The sequence below is a fragment of the Homo sapiens genome, chromosome 1 (assembly GCF_000001405.40).
Source record: "Homo sapiens chromosome 1, GRCh38.p14 Primary Assembly".
Taxonomy (NCBI): domain Eukaryota; kingdom Metazoa; phylum Chordata; class Mammalia; order Primates; family Hominidae; genus Homo; species Homo sapiens.
Window position 1 is genome coordinate 236,268,120 of NC_000001.11, and position 21,066 is coordinate 236,289,185.

General features: G+C 42.1%; 1 protein-coding gene and 1 pseudogene across 1 annotated transcript in view, besides 4 other annotated features; both read right to left on the bottom strand.

Moving 5' to 3' along the window:
* ERO1B (endoplasmic reticulum oxidoreductase 1 beta) overlaps positions 1-13,839 on the bottom strand; it is a 66,858-nt gene extending 53,019 nt beyond the window's left edge. The window contains exons 1-2 of the mRNA NM_019891.4: positions 13,563-13,839; positions 1,756-1,875 (exon numbers count right to left, since the gene is read on the bottom strand). Of these exons, the coding sequence (NP_063944.3) occupies positions 1,756-1,875; positions 13,563-13,664 (222 nt within the window). The 5' untranslated portion in view covers positions 13,665-13,839. The remainder of the gene's footprint in view (positions 1-1,755; positions 1,876-13,562) is intronic.
* Positions 13,234-13,433: an enhancer, noted in NCBI's record as "active region_2819". NCBI's record gives its function as "activates an Ori minimal core promoter by ATAC-STARR-seq in GM12878 lymphoblastoid cells {active_cell/tissue: GM12878}" and the evidence as "EXISTENCE:reporter gene assay evidence [ECO:0000049][PMID:35858748]".
* Positions 13,504-13,553: a silencer, noted in NCBI's record as "silent region_2000". NCBI's record gives its function as "represses an Ori minimal core promoter by ATAC-STARR-seq in GM12878 lymphoblastoid cells {active_cell/tissue: GM12878}" and the evidence as "EXISTENCE:reporter gene assay evidence [ECO:0000049][PMID:35858748]".
* Positions 13,594-14,183: a silencer, noted in NCBI's record as "silent region_2001". NCBI's record gives its function as "represses an Ori minimal core promoter by ATAC-STARR-seq in GM12878 lymphoblastoid cells {active_cell/tissue: GM12878}" and the evidence as "EXISTENCE:reporter gene assay evidence [ECO:0000049][PMID:35858748]".
* Positions 16,018-16,167: an enhancer, noted in NCBI's record as "active region_2820". NCBI's record gives its function as "activates an Ori minimal core promoter by ATAC-STARR-seq in GM12878 lymphoblastoid cells {active_cell/tissue: GM12878}" and the evidence as "EXISTENCE:reporter gene assay evidence [ECO:0000049][PMID:35858748]".
* LOC100130485 (FKBP prolyl isomerase 3 pseudogene) lies at positions 17,355-18,864 on the bottom strand (annotated as a pseudogene).

Sequence of the window (21,066 nt, forward strand, 5' to 3'; positions counted from 1 at the left end):
TCACCTTTTTTGGATGTTCCTGGTGCTGATAAGAGAGATGTGTTCCCAAATCTTTAATTCTCTTATTTGTTATATTTCTGCACAAGATACTAGTTTTTAATCATCAAAAATATTTAATTTGACCAGCCTAGCCAACATGGTGAAACCTCGTCTCTACTAAAAATACAAAAATTAGCCAGGCGTGGTGGTGGGCGCCTGTAATCCCAGCTACTCGGGAGGCTGAGGCAGAAGAATCGCTTGAAGCCAGGAGGCGGAGGTTGCAGTGAACTGAGATGGAGCCACTGCACTCCAGTCTGGGCGACAGAGCGAGACCCTGTCTAAAAAAAAACAAAAAAAAATTAATTTAGCTGACGTAAGCCTAGAAAACAAAAAGACACATGGATAGATAGATAGATTGATCAATCGATAGATCACTTGAAGCCAGGAATTTGAGATCGGCCTGGGCAAACATGGCAAGACCCTGTCTCTAAAAAAAGCAAAAACAAGGCCGGGCGCGGTGGCTCACGCCTGTAATCCCAGCACTTTGGGAGGCCAAGGCGGGCGGATCACAAGGTCAGGAGATCAAGACCATCCTGGCTAACATGGTGAAACCCCGTCTCTACTAAAAATACAAAATATTAGCCGTGCGTGGTGGCAGGTGCCTGTAGTCCCAGCTACTCGGGAGCCTGAGGCAGGAGAATGGTGTGAACCTGGGAAGTAGAGCTTGCAGTGAGCCGAGATCGCGCCACTGCACTCCAGCCTGGGCGACGGAGTGAGACTCTGTCTCGAGAGAAAAAATAAAAGCAAAAACAAAAACATATATATATTATTAAATAACAAAATACATATATTTAGGCCGGGCACAGTGACTCACACCTGTAATCCCAGCACTTTGGGAGGCTGAGGCAGGTGGATGACCTGAGATCAGGAGTTTGAGACCAGCCTGGCCAATATGGCAAAACCCAGTCTGTACTAAAAATACAAAAACTAGCTGGGTGTGGTGGCGGGCGCCTGTAATCCCAGCTACTCAGAAGGCTGAAGCAGAAGAATCGCTTGAAGCCAGGAGGCGGAGGTTGCAGTGAGCTGAGATTGTGCCACTGCACTTCAGCCTGGGTGACAGAGCGAGACTTCATCTCAAAAATAGTAAGAATAATAAAAAATAAAATAAAATAAAATGTTGTTCTAAAATTTAAAACACTGTTCTTTTGAATATTGCCTTACTGCTATATTTAAAGATTGCTGCTGCCTTTAAAGTATCACCGGTTATTTTGTAAAGGTCTAGAGTAGACTATTACTAGATTTAAGAACCAATTCTGGAGCATCACTGTCGGTAGTGGTCTACTTGGAGCCTCAGCCTGTTTTGCCAGCCCTCTCAGAAAGAGGTCCAACAAAGATGCTGCTGTGGTCCTTTCCACTAACAATGCTAGCACACTGACATCAGCACAACTCAAAGGCTGAGTAGGTGTGTCCAGATGGCAGAACTATGTTATAAGAGAGGCTGACAAAGTAAGTCTGTGGCATTTTCAGCTTCTATAGAGACAGTAGTCTCTGCCTAAAAACCAAAACTGAAAAATGAGGAACTCCCCATACAAAGGAAGGGGGCTAAGATTTGTACTGTTTAAAAAGATCAATAGGTTTCCACTGCAATACATAATAAATTCAGTGATGAAAGATATACACAAGGTGCTGAGAGGAACTGAAATGGGCTTTCAAAAGGATCATAAAGGTCACATATAATACCTTTGATATCAACAGAATAAAAAATTACAACCTTACCTTGTAATAACGAAAATAGTCTCTCTCTTGCAATTTTTTTATTTTGGGGAAGATTTTGTAGGTATTGAAGTTATCGATGCTGTCAATATCACACAAGCAATCATCCAGAACTCCAGTGACCTAGAATTTATATAATTTAAAATATGTAAACTACTGATGTTTCAACCTTAACAAATCTACACTATTATATAAAAATGTAATTTATTCATTCAAGTTAGCCGGTACTTGCTGATTAAGATATAACATTAAAGCAGTCAACTTACTTTTTACTGTGGCCAATGAGATAAAAAACAATAGAAAGATTAGCTATACCCATTTGGAAGAACATTTCTCTTTAGCACTTGAAGAGTATTGAATTCTCCTTCCTCTACTTAAACATATATGAAATCCAAGTGGCCACTGGAATACCAAAGCAATATCTTCCCAAACTAACCTAGAAGTTACAGACTGTAATAATATTGCTGTAGTAACCCATGTCTTTTATCTTTCCTTTAGGTGGCCATTTATGGAACACTTACATGACAGGCACAGTATTAAGAGCTTTATATTATCTCATTTCCTCTTTAAAAGTATTTCATGAATGAGGTATTATAATCTTCATATTACATATAAGGAAATTAAGGTTTAGCAACCTTAATTTTTCCAAAGTAGAAATGGAACTTATTCCCAATCTATCAGACTTTAAAATCAATGATCTTATCCACTATTCAAAGATTATTTGCTAATCCAAGAAGAGAAATTGGTATTTACAAAGTGAATTTAGAGTCCCAAAATTCCATAAAACAATCTTTGGCTAAATTAAAAATGGAACTCATTGACTGATATGCACAACCTGGATTTATCTTCCAGGAATTATCCTGAATGAAAAAGCCAAGCCAAAAGGTTACACACTATATGATTCCATTTACAGAACACTTTTTAAATGAAAAAATTTTAGAAATGGAAAGCATATCATTTGTTGCCAGGGATTAGGGACTGGGGTAGGGGATGGATGATGGGGTAGGTAGGGTAGGAAGGAAATAGTGTGGTTATAAAAGGGCAACAGAAGCAATATTTGTGGTGACAAAACTGTTCAGTATTTTGACTGTGATGGTGAACACATGAACCTATGTATGTGATAAAATTATATGGAACTAATACATACACATACAAACAAAACAAGTAAAACTGGGAGAATCTGAACAAGATCAGTAGATTCTATCACTGTCAATGTCCCAATTATAACACTGTACTACATGTTTACAGGATGTTACCATTGGGATAAATAGATAAAGAGTATATGGGATTTCTGTGTTATTTCTTGCAACTCCATATGAACTAACAACCAAAATTTTCAAAAAAACAAAAAATGGGTCTCAGCCTGTTAAAGGTTATTTATATGGTCCATAGGAGGAATATATGCAAGTAATGATCAGAAAATGGAAACCAGTCCTTGCAAGCTGTTTCATTCTCATTCTCTCTCCCTAGGAGTATAAATGTGTCCCCAGACTCCCTTCAACAGAGTTAGGGCTATATTATCTTGAGATAAATGATCATTACCAAGAATTTTGGCTCTAGAGTTACATTTACTTTGCTGTCCGACTCACTAGGATCCTGTCACTAACTCCCAAATTTCATTCCATTGCTCTCACTTACTACTTACAAGACTGCGAGTTCTATTTTTTCCTTCCTCCCCAGCCAGTCTGAAATATGTTTGTAAAGACTTCAAATCATAGCCCCTAAATAGGAAAAAAATACAAACCAAAAAGCTCCCTAGGTTTTAAAAATATTTTATCTAGTGATTGTTTTTTATATATAATATATAATTAAATAACAAAATAAATACTGCCAGTGTCCTTTAAGCTCCTCTTTAATTACATCTACCTCCCTCTCCCTAAAGGTAGAAATAAATCTTGTTTTTGTTTTGTTATCAATTTTTCCTTTTCTGGTAATGCAGCCCTAAACAATATGCTTGAGTTTTTTTGTTCTTTCTTATAAATTTTTCTTAAATTGTTGACTTTTAGTTTATAAAGCACCATATTTTACTTCTTTAAAACATTTTAATTGTGGTAGGGGATGGGTTAACAAAGTTGCCATGTACATATTTGTAACCTTTAAAAGACTACTGAGACAGAAACCTGTGTATCACCAAAAACTTTTTAAATACTGCCAGTATCATATTAAAAAGTAAAACAAAAAAACAGATGTTGGCAAGGATGTGGAAAAAAGGGAATGCTTATACACTGTTAGTGGGAATGCAAATTAGTTCAACACCTATGAAAAACAATATGGAGATTTATCAAAGAACTAAAAGTAGAACCATCATTTGACCCTGCAATCCCACTACCGGGCATCTATCTACCCAAAGGAAATCATTATATCAAAAAGACACCTGCACTTGAACGTTTATCACGGCACTATTCACAGTACTGAAGTCGTGCAATCATCACGTAGTCAAGTACCCATCAACGGTGGATGGAATAAAGAAAATGTGGTCTATGTACACCATGGAATACTAAGTAGCCATTTTAAAAAAATGAAATAATGTCCTTTGCAGCAACATGGATGCAGCTGGAGGCCATTATCCTAAGTGAATTAATGCAAAAGCAGAAAATCAAATACTGCATGTTCTCACTTGTAAGTGGGAGCTAACACTGAGTATACATGAACATAAGGAAGGAAACAACACTGGGGACCCCAAAAGGTGAGGAAAGAGGGGGACAAGAGCTGAAAAATTCCCTATACCCATGTAACAAACCTGCACATGTACCCCCTGAAACTTAGGAAAAAAATAAAAAATAAAAATAAATACTGCCAGTATCCTTTAAGCTCCTCTTTAATTACATCTACCTCCCTCTCCCTAAAGGTAGAAATAAATATTGTTTTTGTTATCAGTTTTTCCTTTTCTGGTAATGCATCCCTAAACAATATGCTTGAGGTTTTTTTCCCCCATTTTTGAACTTTAATATTAATGGAATCTAATGTGTGAATTTTTCTGTGATGTGCCTCTTTTGTTAACACGTTATTATGGCATCTATGATGATGAGGTTTGTAGCACCTCATTCATTTTCCCTGTTGCAAGTGTTACATTTTATTAGAATATCATAATTTATCCATTCTACTCTTGATGCATACAGTAGACAGAATGCCCCACCCCCAAGATGTCCCTAATTCCTGAAATAAGCAAATATATTATTTTTGCATGGCAAAGGGGACTTCAAAGATGTGATTAATTTGAGGATCTTGAGATGGAAGGGGTATACTGGATTATTCAGGTGAGATGAGTTCTTTATGAGAGAGGAAGGCGGGAGTGTCAGAGTCAGAGAGAGACTGGAAGATGCTATACTGCTGGCTCTGAAGATGAAGGAATAAAGAGGTCATAAGCCAAAAATCATGACAATACCTAGAAGCTTGAAAAGAAGCCTCCAGAAGGAAATGCAACCTTGCTGACATCTTGATTTTAACCCTGTAAATCCCATTTTCAGAATTCTGGCCCCCAGAACTACAGCATAATAAATTTATATTGTTTTTAAGTCATTATATTTGTGGCAATTTGTCACAACAGCAATAGAAAATTACCACAATCCAAATTTAGATTGTTTTCAGATTTGGCTAAAGAACATTGCTACACAAATGTTTCTGGGCACATATTCTGGTGTAAAAACACATGCAAGAGTTTCTCCAGGTTGGGCCAGGCACAATGACTCACACCTGTAATCTTAGCACTTTGGGAGGCGGACACAGGAGAATTGAGTCCAGCCTGGGCAACATGGCAAAACCCTGTCTCTACAAAAGTACAAAAATTAGCCAGGTCTGGTGGTGAGCATCTGTAGTCCCAGCTACTCAAGAGGCTGAGATGGGAGGATCACCTGAACTCAGGGGGTCGAGGTTGCAGTGAGCCAAAATCACACCACTGCACTCCAGCTTGGGGAAAAGAGCGAGACCTTGTCTCAAAAGAAAAAAAAAAAAAAAAAAAAAGAGTTTCTCCAGGTTATATGCTTAGGAATAGAACCGCTGAAAGTATATGTTCAGCTTTTTCAGGAAATGGCAAAATGATTTCCAAAACAGTTTTACCAATTTATCAGCCCCTCAACAATGAATGGGACTTACTGTTGAGCCATATCCTATTTTTTTTTTTTTTTTTTTTTGAGACAGAGTCTCACTCTGTCACCCAAGCAAGAGCGCAGGATCACAGTCTTGGCTCACTGAAACCTCCGCTTCCTGGGTTCAAGTGATTCTCGTGCCTCAGCCTCCCGAGTAGCTGGGACTACAGGCACATGCCACCATGCCCAGCTAATTTTTGTATTTTTAGTAGAGACAGCGTTTCACCATGTTGGCCAGGCTGGTCTCAAACTCCTGGCCTCCAGTGATCCGCCTGCCTCAGCCTCTCAAAGTGCTGGGATTGCAGGTGTGAGCCACTGTGCCAGCCCATATCCTCATCAATATTTAATATTAATCTATGCTTTAATTTTTGCCAATCTAGTTAGCATGAAAGATTATCTTTTTTCTTATTTGCACTAAGAAGGTACAATGTTCATATGTTTTATGACACATTTATATTTCTTCTTGTGTAAAATGTCTATTTATATCTTTGATTCACTTTTCTGTTAGGTTATCTTCTTCATACTCATCTGCAGAAATCAATACTGCTTCTTCCCTATTCTATTATATTCTTTTAGAACTCCAATTAGATGTATTAGACATTCTCACTCTATTCTCCAGGTATCTTAAGTTCTCTTTAATATTTATTATCCCATTGTCTCTTTAGATTTCATTCTGAATAATTTATTTGCATCTATCTTCCATTCACTTATTCATTAATTCAGCCTATTTACTGAGGCCCAACATAAGATTTGCACTGCTTTAAGTGCTGGGGATATAAAATTAGAAGAAAAAAAAAAGACAGACAAAAATCTCTGCCCTCAAGGAGTTTACATTCTCATAGGGAAAAGGGGGTGCAAAATGAATGAACAAAGTACAGAATGTCAGATGGTAATAAAGTGATATAGATAAAACTAAGGACTGGAAACAGACTGCAGAACTGGGGCTGCTAACCATTTAAAATAGGACAGTTACAGAAGGTGTCATGAAATTTTGGCAAGGAGCAAGACATGCAGGTATCTGGGGGGACAGCATTCCAGGCATTGGGAGTGAGTGCAAAGATCCTAATGCAGTAAGCTTGCCCCATGTTTTTGAGGAATAAGGAGGACTATACAATAGGCAAGAAGGAGAATTAGACCACTATAAGATTTTAGCTTTTACTGAATCTGAGTTATTTTCTCACACCAACCAATTCTCCAACTCTGAGACCAACTGGGTGGTGTCCAACAATTCAATTCTGACACTATCCACCATCAGTGCAGACCTACAAATTAAGGGCTGAGTCCCACAAGATGGCCCCACTCCTGACACAAATCTCAGGTCCTGAGCCACTTGTTCTTCTGACTGGCTATCAATTGTGGGTTCCTAGCACTTCCATTGCAGGTTTGATAATTTGCCAGAATGGCTCACAGAACTCAGAAAGACACTTTACTTACAGTTATCAATTATAAAGGATACAACTCAGTAATAACCAAATGGAAGAGATGCATTGGGCAAGCTACTAAGGCAGAGGGATGTGCAGAGCCTCCGTGCCTCTCTCAACATGCCACCCTCCCAATAAGTCAATGTATTCCCCAACCCGGAAGCTCATCAAATCAAGTTGTTCAAGAGTTCTTACGGAGCTAAATCTCCAGCACCCACCTCTCCCCTTCCTGCAGATTGGTGGGGCCAAAAGTTTCAACTTTCTAATCACTTGGGTCTTTGTGGTGACCAGCCCCCAATCCTGAGGCTATCTATGTAGGGTCCCCGTCTTAAGTCATTTCATTACTATAAACACAAGTGTGATTGAAAGGGGCTCATTATGAGTAACAAAAGGCACTCCTATGACTCAAATTCCAAGGGTTTTAAAGGGCTCTATGTCAGCAATCAGAAATAAAGACCAAATATATTTTTGGATGACACCATGTGAGACAGGAAGCCAATGGGGAGTTTTAAGCAAAGGGTGACAGGAATTTGGTGAGGATAGAATGTTTCTCTTTTATATTTGTGTGGTCAGGGACATTTAAGACAAGAGATGTCAGATAAAGTGACACTTTAGCAGAAATCTAACAGAGTGAATCATATGAATACACGAGAAAAGTGTGTGCTAGGTAGAAGAAACAGTACAAAGGCTTTCAGGCAAGAATGTATCTGCCATGTTTAAGAACAACAGGCAGGCCAATTTGGCTGGAGCTTATGTATAAGGGGGGAAGACTGTGGAAAAAGCAGATTTGGGGGAAAAGATCAGAAATGTGGTTTCTATATCAAGTTTGTGATATCTATTAATCCTCCAAGTGGAGATGTCCAAAAAGAAGTTGGATACATAGATCTAAAGCTGAGAATCCTAGTCTTGGAGACTAACACTGAGAGTCCACTGTACATTTGGTATTTAAAGCTAAGAGACCAGAAGAGATGACTAAGATAAAGAGAAGAAAGAGTACAAGCTTTGAACCCTGAGGTTCAAATGATTAGCAGTCAATGGCAGGGGAGGAACAAAGAAAGAATGCTAAGACAGACTGGTCCACTAGACAGGAAGACAATCAGAAAAGTTTAGTATCCAGGATGTCAGAATAAAAATTATTTCAAGGAGAGTGAGTGATGAGTTGTGAAAAAATGCCGCCAACAGGTAAAGCTGAGGTTTAAGAACAAACCGTTGGCCTTAGCAACAAGGAGGACATCGGCGACCTTGCCAAGAGCAGTTTCAGAGGTGCGGTAGGAGCAAAAGTCTGATTAGAATGGGCTGAAAAATAGAAGAACCAGCAAAGGAAGAATAAATTAAATCTAACTCTTGAATTTTCTAGAGGGAACAGAAAAAATAGGCAAAGGCAGAAGGAATATGTGGATGAAAAGATAACTTTAAAACAGTAGAATTAGCAGCATGTTTTATGATATATAGTCTGGCTTTATCTCTTCACTCAAATCTCATGTCAAATTATAATCCCCAGTGTTGGGGAGGGGCCTGGTGGGAGGTGTTTGAATCATGGGGGCGGACTTCCCCCTTGCTGTTCTCCTGATAGTGAGCTCTCATGAGATCTGGTTGTTTAAAAGTGTGCAGCACTTCCCCGATTGTAAGTTTCCTGAGGCCTCGCCAGCCATGCTTCCTGTACAGCTGTGAGTCAATTAAATCTCTTTTCTTTAAAAATTACCCAGTCTCAGGCAGTTCTTTACAGCAATACAAGAATGGACTAAGCCAGGCACAGTGGCTCACGCCTGTAATCCCAGCACTTTGGGAGGCCAAGGCAGGCAGATCACTTGAGGTCAGGAATTTGAGACCAGCCTGGCCAACATGGCAAAACCCCATCTCTACTAAAAATACAAAAATTAGCTGGGCGTTGTGGCAGGAGCTTGTAATCCCAGCTACTTGGGAGGCTGAGGCATAAGAATTGCTTGAGCCTGGGAGACAGAGGTTGCAGTGAACTGAGATCGAGCCACTGCTCTCCAGCCTGGGTGACAGAGCGAGACTCTACTCCAGGAAAAAAAAAAAAAAAAGAATGGACTAATACATGATGACAGTAAAATTCCATTTGAGAAGGAAAAACTGATGATCCAGGAAAGAAAGAGAAGATTACTGGAGCCATGTCCATGAGCGGCAAACAAGGAATGAGACCTAACATACAAGTGAAGGGGCTGCCTTTGATAAAAGCACACAGTTCATCAATGGTAACCAACAGGAAGTCAAAATATGTGGGTACAGAGACTAGTAAATGGATAGATATGGGTTACTCTGTGGAATTTCTCTTCTGATTGCTCCAATTTTAGTAAGGTATGAACTGAGAGTAAGGATAGATGAAAAGGTGATGGAGAATTAAGGAGAAAGAAAAAAGACATGAAATGGTTGTCTAATTCAATAATCATTTCTTCAGCTGGATATGATCAGCTATTTAATCTATCCATCGAGTTTTAAATTTCAGTTCTAGAACTTCTAATTCATTATTATTAAAATCTTTTTGGCCACTCTTTAAAATCTTTTTTCCCTTCTATACTTCAAGTTTCTTTTTATTTGAACACATTAAACATAGTGATATTAAATTATCTGATAATTTCAGAACCTAAGGTCATTATGTGTTTGTTTCTGTTGTCTAATATCTGATTCATGGTGCCCTGTTTCCTTGGGTGTTTTGTGATATTTTACTGCTAGCTGTTTATTCTCCTTGGCACTTCATCTTCAATAATTTTTCGAGGTTTGAGTTGAAAATAAATTCCTCCAGAGGTGATGGATATTTGCTTTTATTGGAAACCCAGGGCACACAAATTTGGGACTGCTATGAATTTTCCCAGAATAAATATTTGGCTTGCGAACCTGTGTGAGGACTGTCTCATGGTTACAAATTCTCAAAAGTTTCTTCCCTGCTTCTCCCAGCAAGTTTCTTTTATTCCCTTTACTTAGAATGGGTTTCATTTCTCGTTTACCCTTATACTGAGGATGTAATTGTTTGAAGTCCAGGCTCCAAACAGCTACATCCTCAATATAAGGGTAAACGAGAAATGAATTATGGTGGAGGCTCCTATTAGTTTCCTCTCACTGGGCAGACACGGGGTTATTTCTTGCCCACTCCACTCCATGCAACTGCTAAAGCAGCTCAAGATCTTTAGGGTTTAGGAGAAGCCCTCAGAGTAACGGACTGGTATAGCACTATTTAAGTTCTAAGTTTCTGGCTTTTCATATATTGAGGGGCTCTGTGTATTACTCAATTTTATGCCACCTCAGAAATGCATTTAGAAAAACTTACATATATCTAATTGAAATTACTTTTTAAAGGAAGATTGTTATATCACTTGTATGCACTATGCCTTTAGTTTCCAGTGCTTCACCAAAGTATATTTACATTTCATTTATACGATAATGGGGCATGAGATATACAAACACGTATCATTTTGTGTGTTCAAAAATATTTTTCTGCTTTTATTTTGGAAGGGGATAACATTTAAAATATGTATCTCCTTTAATGACTTTGATTTCTTGTGAACAGAGGTAGTTTTCAAAAATTCTAATTCTTCCCTTTATCAGTTTTCTACCAATTTATTATATGGATGAAGTCAAAGAACTGGCTGAATTCCACTTTTTGATTTTCCTATTTTCCATCTCTTTTTCTATACTAGAGAGAACTGAAAATACCAACATACTGTATAGACCAGAAAGGGTTCCACATTAGGGCTCCACTGTAAAGTCACTCATTCAATTAAGACATTTAAGTTCTTTGAACTTCAATTACCTCAATGGTCCCACTTCGGAGAGATTGTACGTGTAACCATGTTATAGATTAAAGTACTATCTAAAAGATGATCAGGCCAGGCACGGTGGCTCACGCCTGTAATCCCAGCACTTTGGGAGGCCAAGGCGGGTGGATTACCTATGGTCAGGAGTTCGAGACCAGCCTGGCCAACATGGTGAAACCTCATCTCTACTAAAAAATACAAAATTAGCCGTGTGTGGTGGCACACACCTATAGTCCCAGTTACTCGGGAGGCTGAGACAGAAGAATCACTTGAACCCAGGAGGTGGAGGCTGCACTGAGCCAAGATGGCGCCACCGCACTCCAGTCTGGGTGACACAGAGCGAGACTCCATCTCAAAAAAAAAAAAAAAACAGCACAGTAGAAAGTACTGCTGGCGGCCTGGGCGCGGTGGCTCACGCCTGTAATCCCAGCACTTTGGGAGGCCGAGGCAGGCGGATCACCTTAGGTCAGGAGTTCAAGACCAGCTCGGCCAACATGGCAAAACCCTGTCTACTGGGAAAAAAAAAAAAAACACACACACAAAAATTAGCCAGGCGCGGTGGCAAGCACCTGTAATCCCAGCTACTTGGGAAGCTGAGGCAGACAGAATTGCTTGAACCTGTGAGGCAGAGGTTGCAGTGAGCCAACACATGCCATTGCATCCAGCCTGGCCAACAGAGTGAGACACTATCTCAAAAAAAAAAAAAAAAAGAAAGTAAGTACTGCTGGCAACAAAAACCAAATATATTCACTTGGAAGACTGTTTGGCACAATGCTACTTCAAATATTCACAAATCTTTAACTGTTGGACTATATTTATATTCATTTGGATATAATGAAATTAAAAGTACAGGGGCAGGCCAGGTACAGTGGCTCACACCTGTAATCCCAGCACCTGGGAAGCCAAAGTAAGAGGCTCGCTGGAGGCCAGGAGTTGAAGATCAGCCTAATAACATAGTCCCCATCTCTACACAAGAATTTTAAAAATACAGGTGAAATTATAAAACATTAATTACACATAATTAGTGGTAAATGAAAAAAATTTAAAATGAAGTTTCTAGACAGATAAGCATAAATTAATATGTGCTATATAAAAAGAGAAAATGGGAACTCTCATTTCAGAAAAATATCGAATTGTAAATTTCACTCAGAAACACTCAACTAGTGACTAGAAAATAATTTTGCCAAAGACAATTTGGAAAATTTACTTTAGTAAGTCTGCCCAGATTACCACTATCTATTCCATCTCAGTGTTTTCCAAGTGAGGTCCAAGAGGTAGTCAAAAGATAACTTTGCTACAGTTATACTGTACTTGCAATGTTTGTTTAAAATGCTGATATCTGGGCCATATTCCAGATCCAATCAATACATGTGGAGGTAGGGCCAGAGAATCTGCATTTTAACATGTTCCCCAATACCAAAAATTTGCCCCTTTTATTTTTATGGTTCAAACACAGACACAAACGGACTATTCAGGCACTCTGGGATTTAGTGCAGGGCACCATAAAACCATGAAATAAAGTGACTCAATTCAGAAAAACATGTTTTCACGGTTACACTCAGAGTCACCTTCAATTTTTCTTGGATGAGCACTAATTGCTTCAAATGACATCTCCCCTCATCATCAGGCCACCTGAGACCTTCGTTTTATTTTTTTGGCCCTCAGCAGTGCTGCCTCCTTGCAGCAGGTGCAGACAACAAGCAGCAGCACCTGGCAATCAATTCAAATTCTACTGAATAGAAGCAAACACCTCTCTGAAGGCGAAAGGATCTGGTCAGCTAAGCCTCAGATTTCTAGCACACTGAGAACACTTGTAATCATCGCTTCACATCAACAACCAGCCAGCACCTCACGACTGCCAGAGCCAGAGCCTCCATCCACGAGCCACAACGCCCCACTCAGACCCCCCCAGTCTCGTATTGGGACTTACCTGGCGATGCCACTTGGCAGACACAGCTCAGCTGGGTAAAAATAAAGCAATCTTGAGCAAGGGAAGGTGCTCGAGGAAGAGTAAAAGCCCAGAAAGCTCTAGTCCGACAGTTCGAGTGAAGTCTTGCCCCCTCCCAATCCCCTGCGCCTGGCGGGGCCTCGGGGGTCTGCGGAGTGCCCCCAACTCTCAGTCTCCCTCCCTCACTAACTCCTGAAGGGAAGGACGTCACCGTTTCTCTGGGCGCTCGCTCCCTTCGCAAGACAGCCGAGGTGGTTCATGCCCGTCCCATCTCCCGCCACACTCCCAGCCGCTTAACACATCCGAGAGGAAAAAACGAAAACAGCTCAGGGGGACCGTCACCATCTTCCTCTTTTGACTGCCATTACCCGGAGTGTCGCCGTCCCCCCACCCTGCGGGCGGTTCGCAGATGTTTCCCGCACTGGACGGTCAGGTCTCTGCTCCCCGGGTTTTCTGCTCGCCAGAAATCACCTCTTTTCTGGCCCGGCCCTGCCCGGCCCTCCCCGCGTCACAGCCGCGGCCCGTGTGTAGCGGCCGCGGGTGTTCGGCCGGGGGTTCCCGGCCCGCTATCACTCGGGCTTACCTGCGCCTCGACGACGCTCCGCAGGAAGCTCAGGGTGACCAGCAGCTGCACCGCGGCCGCTACCCCCTGCCCAGCGCCTGCCCGGCGGACCCCTTGGCTCATGCTGACCTCTACCCACACCGCGGCCAGCCGGACCCCTCGGGGCCGGGGAACGACGGGCGGCCCAGGCGACGACCCAAGGGGACGGTTCCCAGCGGCCGAGCGACTCCAGGGTCAGAGGTCTGCACTCCAGTCCGGAGGCAGGCGACTCTTTCCCCAACACCCGGCAGCTGCGAGTGAGGCAGGAAAGGCGAGCGCCCCCACTTCATCCCCCAGGCGGCCCCGCCCCCGGCTCGCTTGGCTCCTCGGCCACGCCCCCAAGCGCGGGGCCTTGTGGGAGTTGTGGTCCTGGGCGGTCGCCTAGGCGCCGCGGCAGGAAGGCGGAGCCGCTGAACGAGAGGACTCGGGAACTACAACTGCGAAGGCCGCCCCGCCTCCCCGAGGCCTCGGGCTCCGCGGCGGCCAATGAGGCGGGACCACGCGGGCCTCCAAAACACCGGGGGGTGCGGGCGGGGGAAGCGGGGCGACCTCTTCTCCGGGAAACCAGGCTGAGGACCTCTCTGCGTCGGTCCCTGCTGTCGCTCCTGGAGTCCTCGCAGACGCCAGGCTCTAGGATTCACCCAGTACGCGGGCGAGTTAGGAACGGACGGTGCGGGATCTTTGACTTTCGGTCTGAAGCGTATTCTTTGTCTCATTCATTTTTCTGTAGCCTCACATCTGCTGTGGGTGCCTATGTAAGCTACCTGTGACTTGTAGAGATGGCTTCGGCTCTTTTTTAATTTCATGCACCCTAGATGTGGATGTCATCTCCTGCCCCGCCCCAGCCCGACTCCTAGGTTGACACGTGCGAGTATAACGCATGCTAAAGAATGAAGACAAACCCAAAGGCTTATGATGAAATATGGGGATGGGGTAAAACAAAAAAAAACTTAGAGTGACATAGATTGGGCGCAGATCCCAACTCTAAAACATTCTAGCTAGTTATTGGGCCTTAATTCCCACCTCATATCTTGTTCTAGGGCTACATAAGATTAGATACAGAAAGAGCTGAGTATAGTGCCTAGCACCTAGGAAGCACTCAATAAATGGTAACTGCTATTAGTTTTATTAATGCCTTTGATTTCTACAAAACGAGTAATACATCTCCCTTGTGTTTATGTAGCGTGTATTAGTTTCTCATTGATGCTGTAAGAAACTATCACACATTTAGTTGCATACAACAAAAGAAATTCATTACCTTATAGTACTGGAGATCAGGTGTCCAAAATGGACCTGTAGGGCTGTGTTCCTTTTGGAGGCTCTCAGGGACAATGTGTTTCCTTACCTTTTCCAGCTTCCAGAGGCCACCTGCATTCCTTACCTCATGACTTCACATCTCCTTCACTCTCTCTGCTTCCCTCGTCACATGCCTTCTCTTGTGACCCTAACTCTTCTGTCTCTCTTGTATAAGGACCCTTGTGATTACATTGGTTACAGACCATCCTATCTCAAAATCCTCAACTTGATCACATCTGCACAGTCCCTTTTGCCATATAGGATAACATATTCACAGGTTCCAGAGATTAGGATGAGGATTTATAAATAGAGGGTCATTAATCAGCCTACCACATAGTGGTTTATACCTTTCAGAACCAGCAGAGCATTAAACCAAATGCAGGGTCCTGGGGTGGCTGACTGCATAGGTCACATGCCCATGAAGCCAGTCCTGCCTGTCCTTTTCCCCTCCAGCAACTCTTTCCCTTCTGCCTCCAAACTGTCCAGATCTTCCCTAGCTTAAAAGCAAAAAGAAATTGGCTGGGTGTGGTGGCTCACACCTGTAATCCCAGCACTTTGGGAGGCTGAGGCGAGCAGATCACCTGAGGTCAGGAATTTGAGACCAGCCTGACCAACGTGGAGAAACCCTGTCTCTACTAAAAATACAAAATTAGCCGGGCAAGGTAGCACATGCCTGTAATCTCAGCTACTTGGGAGGCTGAGACAGGAGAATCGCTTGAACTCAGGAGGCGGAGGTTGCGGTGAGCTGAGATCACGCCATTGCACTCCAGCCTGGGCAACAAGAGCGAAACTCTGTCTCAAAAAAAAAAAAAAAAAAATTGTTGCTTGATTTTTCCAGCTACTTTTCCATGTCTCCTTTTCTCTTCCAAACCTATACTTCCTATCTGCTCACTGCCTTCTTCCCTTCATATAAATGTGCTTTTGATAAGAGAAACTTTTTATCAAGTTTGGTAGACTTTTTAAAAGATTCCTTGTCTGTGCTGTATTTGAGGTTGTCAATAACACATACTTCCTGGAATTTTGTTATGCAAAACTTCTTTTTTTAAATTGTGGGTTATAAATTTTCCTATTATAAAATCTCGGGTTCTTTAAGGACTCTCTCTAGTGCCTGGATATCAAAGGCAGAATTCATGGCTTTCCAGAGGCTTGAAATATTTGTTATTAAAGAACAAAGGAAGAAAGTGGGTTCGGGGGTGGAGTAAAAAAAAGAGAGAGAGACAAAGTGGACAGGGAACTTTAATGCAGACAGGGGTCAGATAGCTTTTGTCCTCTTAGTTACCTAATCCAGAAAGTCACAGTAACAAACCTCCCCGTTTGCTTTTGTTTTCAGCTCAGAAGCCTTACACATAACTTCTAGGGACAAATGAGATTTTTCTTGGTGAGTGAAATTGGAAATAGCAGGTGTTTGTCATGAAATAGGGGCATACCAAGACTCACTTAAAGTGGTGTCTGTCATGATCTGTTTTAGTGTTCATTGTTAAGAGTGGTATGACGGGGTTGTTTCTTTGTGAACAGGCAGCCCTCCTCTTTGTTCTCTCATTCTGACTGATTTACCTCTGCTTTCCCTAAAATCAGCTACACTGAAACCAGCATTGTGAGAGGCCCTGGGGATGTGCTATCACCCATGCTTCCTGCAGATGATGTTCAGTTAGAACCTTCCCATTCCTAAGGCTGTGGTTAGAAGTTGAAACAGGAAGAAAGTGCATACACTAAACCCCTTTGATTGCACGCCACAAAAATCAGCTCTAGCTCTAATTTTTTTTGAAATAGCAAATGAAAAAAATGTCAAATTGCTTACAGTACTGAGGCAGATTTCACCACACACCTTTAGAAAGGTAAGTCCATCAGGACAGAATTCAGGGACTCTAAATTAGAGTACAACTCATGATTGAACAGTCTCTTCTAGGGCATTGCCATTATACTTATCAATTCCCATCGCTTTTAGTCTTCTGTCCCTCCTATCAAAATTCACATTCTTTCTGGAGGTTAGCTTGCAGGTAGAATGTGAGCACCTTGATTCACAGTCCTACAGACCACAAGAAATGAGCCAGAGGTAGTTGCACAAACTACTACTTTCTTTTTCTTTTCTTTTTTCTTTTTTTTTTGAAACAGAGTCTCACTCTGTCACCCAGGCTGGAGTGCAGTGGTGCCATCTCACTGCAACTTCCACCTCCCAGATTCAAGCGATTCTCATGCCTCAGCCTCCAGGGTAGCTGGGATTACAGAAGTGTGTCACCACACCTGGCTAATTTTTGTATTTTTAGAAGAGATGGGGTTTCACCATGTTGGCCAGGTTGGCCTCAAACAACTTTCTATTTTTAATAGAGGGGAAAGGGATGCTGGTCAGAGAAAGGCAACAGATGTCTCCTTCAGGATGCTGAGTTTTTATTGAGTACTCCATTTGAATTCACTTCCTTTACCTCAGCTTGTATTCACACATTCATTAAATTATCACAGATGTCTTTCCACGCCGCCCCCCAGTGGATATATTTTTATTCAGCCATTTAGTTTACAACATGAGGTAAAAGGAAAAAGTTCTCCCTGACCAGTATTTTACACAGTTGTAGTGTAAAACATTTTGGACTTCAGGGATTTATAAGGGATTACATTTCTGAAAAGTTGGGATCAGTTTAAACAAGTTTTTTTTTGTTTTTTTTTTTCTCGAGACGGAGTCTTGCTCTGTCACCCAGGCTGGAGTGCAATGGCGCAATCTTGGCTAACTGCAACCTCCGCCTCCTGGGTTCAAGTGATTCTCCCATCTCAGCCTCCCGAGTAGCTGGGATTATAGGCACGCACCACCATGCCCAGCTAATTTGTTGTATTTTTAGTAGAGATCTCAAACAAGTTTTAACTCTGAATTTTCCAGGTGACTCTTCCCTTCCAATAGTAACAAACTCTAGTTAGTTACGTAAGTTTCTTTAAGGCCAAGTTTTATCACTGTTGCTGATATCCTTAGAGCTGAAGCACTGCTATTTCAATCAGTATCCACTAATTCCACTTCAGAAACGAACTTTGTATTTAGTGGAATTTTGGCTTCAGGCTGCCCTTTCTTTGCATAAGCCCATTCTGCTTCACTCTTCAATCGAGGCTTTTCTCCTTTACCCAGTCAACAGTGCTTCATCCCATCCTGTGATAACTTTGCCTACTCTGACCTTAAAACTTAAAGGCTTGGTATTGGTATTTTTCTTTTTTGAACTTGTTTGAATATTAGTATCAAAAACAGTCCCATCCTGTAGTGTTCCTGTATACCAGCCTTGAACAACATCTCCCCATCTCCCAAAAAGGAGAGATGTTATTCACTGCTGTTCATTTCCTTTTTTTGGGGAGATGGAGTTTCGCTCTTGTTGCCCAGGCTGGAGTGTAGTGGCGTGATCTCAGCTCACCGCAACCTCCACCTCCCGAGTTCAAGCGATTCTCCTGCCTCAGCCTCCCGAGTAGCTGGGATTAACAGGCATGTGCTACCTTGCCTGGCAAATTTTGTATTTTTAGCAGAGACAGGGTTTCTCTATGTGGGTCAGGCTGGTCTTGAACTCCTGACCTCAGGTGATCCACCCGCCTCGGCCTCCCAAAGTGCTGGGATTACAAGCATAAGCAAATGCGCCTGGCCTTATCTCATGTTTTTAGAACAGATTTTGCATATTTTGGTGGACCCTCAGCCAGAGACTCTCCAGACTTTGGGTTTATTTGGGTTTATCTTCATTAAGCTTCACATTTTTCACTTGCAACACTTACAGTATTGATACCCTTGAAACACTCAGTTTCAAAAAGATGGTTATAGGCTGTAACCAAATGGTCCTTGTTAGCTGTCTTGCCTGCATTTTTAATGTTTCCTAATAATTTATGTTCTGCAAGAAACGAATCTGAATTGTGGTCCTGCAGAAACTTGATAAAGTCCCTCTTGGGCAGGTGCTTACTGCGCAGCTGCTCCAGGGTTCACGCCTGCAGTGGAACGGCCACTGCCATCTTCCCCCACTGCCTGTGCCTCACTGAGCCAGCCGGCCGCAGTTCCCACAGATGTCTTGATTGTAATACACCAAAAAGCATGCGTCAGGACACTGGCTGACCAGAAATGGCAACAGTATGCCTATTGTAGCTTATGTAATTTATGATTTACTATCACCACCGAGGTTAGATGAACCTAATTACCTGGAAGTGACTTACACGAAAACTGACCACACTTTTCGAATGGAAGAATTTATGAGCCTCTTATATTTCCTAATCTGAGATGGATCAGGGCTAGCTATGTCAATCAGCACAATTCCCTCATTGTAAGCAATGATAATATATAATTGACTTGGCCAAGATCAATTATGACAGTGGGTCGCAGGGGTGTCCGAGACAGAGAATACAGTCATGGGCTCTTAGTTTTTGTTTCTGGTTAAGCCACTAAAGCCTATTAAGTTTAGCCTCAAGCGGCTTCCTTACATATTTAATTTCAGCCTAAAGGTATTTCTATACATCACGAACTATAACAACTGGAGGTATACACCAACGGTGACCCACACCTGTGCCAGTCACTAAGTTTTGGCCAAAGAAATGTAGCCAACTGTTTGAACCGTGTTAAAATAAGGCAAACGCCAAGCTGTAACCAATCCAGTTGTTTCTGTACCTCACTTCCATTTCCTGTAGGTCAGTTTCCTTTTGCTGTCCATAAATCTCCCACGATGTGGCTGCGCGGGAGTCTCTCTGAATCTGCTGTGATTCTGGGGGCTGCACGATCGTTCGTTGCTCAAACTCTTTTAAATTTAATTCGGCTAAGTTTTTCTTTTAATGAGCCCCTTCCTCGTCCCTTTTTTCTGCTTATCACTAGAGACAGAAACTAAAAACCATGGCTTCAGGCCGCGGAAAGCCTAAAACTAAACAAAACGAAACGAAGCCAAACAGACTCAACCATGGATGACCTCAGTGTGCTTCACCTTTTCAAACGGATAGTGTCAAAATGACAGAGGAGTTAAGAAGAAACTACTTAGGCAGATAGTGAGGGTATGGGAGTCCTCAGTAAGGTTTTTCTTTTTAATGAAAAGCAGCCCCCAAATCATTTTCTAACAAAGAGCAGCCTGCAAAATCGAGCTGCAGACATAGACAATCAAGCCGGAAGCTTGCAGGGGTGCATACCGGTAGGAAAAAAGCCACCTGGGACTAGACATCTTCAAATTAGCGGCCCCATCTTCCCTCTTCTTTGTCAGAAAGGAGCAGGCAAGATGGCCTGGTTAAGTGGAAAGCCATTTGCATAATAAGATTAGGGTGGGGTAGCCAGCCTTTCCCCGCCCACTATGTAAATGTAACACCTGATCCGTCCAATCTGTGGGCCTTATGTAAATCAGACACCGCCTCCTCAAGCCGAACTATAAAATCCAGCGCACTCCATCACCCACCGGTCTTTCCTTGCAGAAGCCTCTGTCTCACTAGAGAGCTACTCTGCTTTCTCTTTCTTTTGCCTATTAAGCCTCTGCTCCTAAACTCATGTGTGTTCCTGTCCTAAATCTTCCTGGCGCAAGACGACGAATCCTGGGTATTTACCCCAGACAACGAAGCCACTTCAAAAAGTGTTTCGATCAAGATCAACCTTATTTGTATTGGAAATGTAGTCACACTGACACCGTGTACAAAAACAGATTGATGTTGAGAAGCCAGAAGAACAGAAAAAATAAAACAAAAACAGATTTACATTTATTACAGATGGACTCTGTTTTACTCTCAAATAGAAGTGATTCCCCTCATCTCTTTATTTCTATGCTTCCCTTCCCTTCTTCCCGCTCCATGTTCCCCTTTTCTGTGGAAGGATGGCTAATCGTCTCATCTCTGTGTCCAGAGTGAATCAGTGGAGTCCTATGGCAGTTCCTACACACAGTATTCACGTAGCACCAACAATCTGCCACTCTGTATTAGAGTTAGCTTTTCTGTGTACTGTGTATGCGTATTATAGCCCATCTAGAGTGCAAAGTTTTAGTAGACTCTATCTATTTGTACCGTATTCTCTTTAGTGGCTACTGTTCCTAAGAACAGTAGTCAGTAAACACTTGTTCATTGACTGGATATTGTTTACTATCTCAATTTATCTTAGGAGATAATATCTCAGAACCAATCCTGAATGTGGGGGCCCCTGAACATTTCCTGTGGAGGGCTGGGAAGTGGCTTTGTTAGAAAGGAATATTCCTGGAGAATGCAGTAAAATGAAACCGACAGTCTT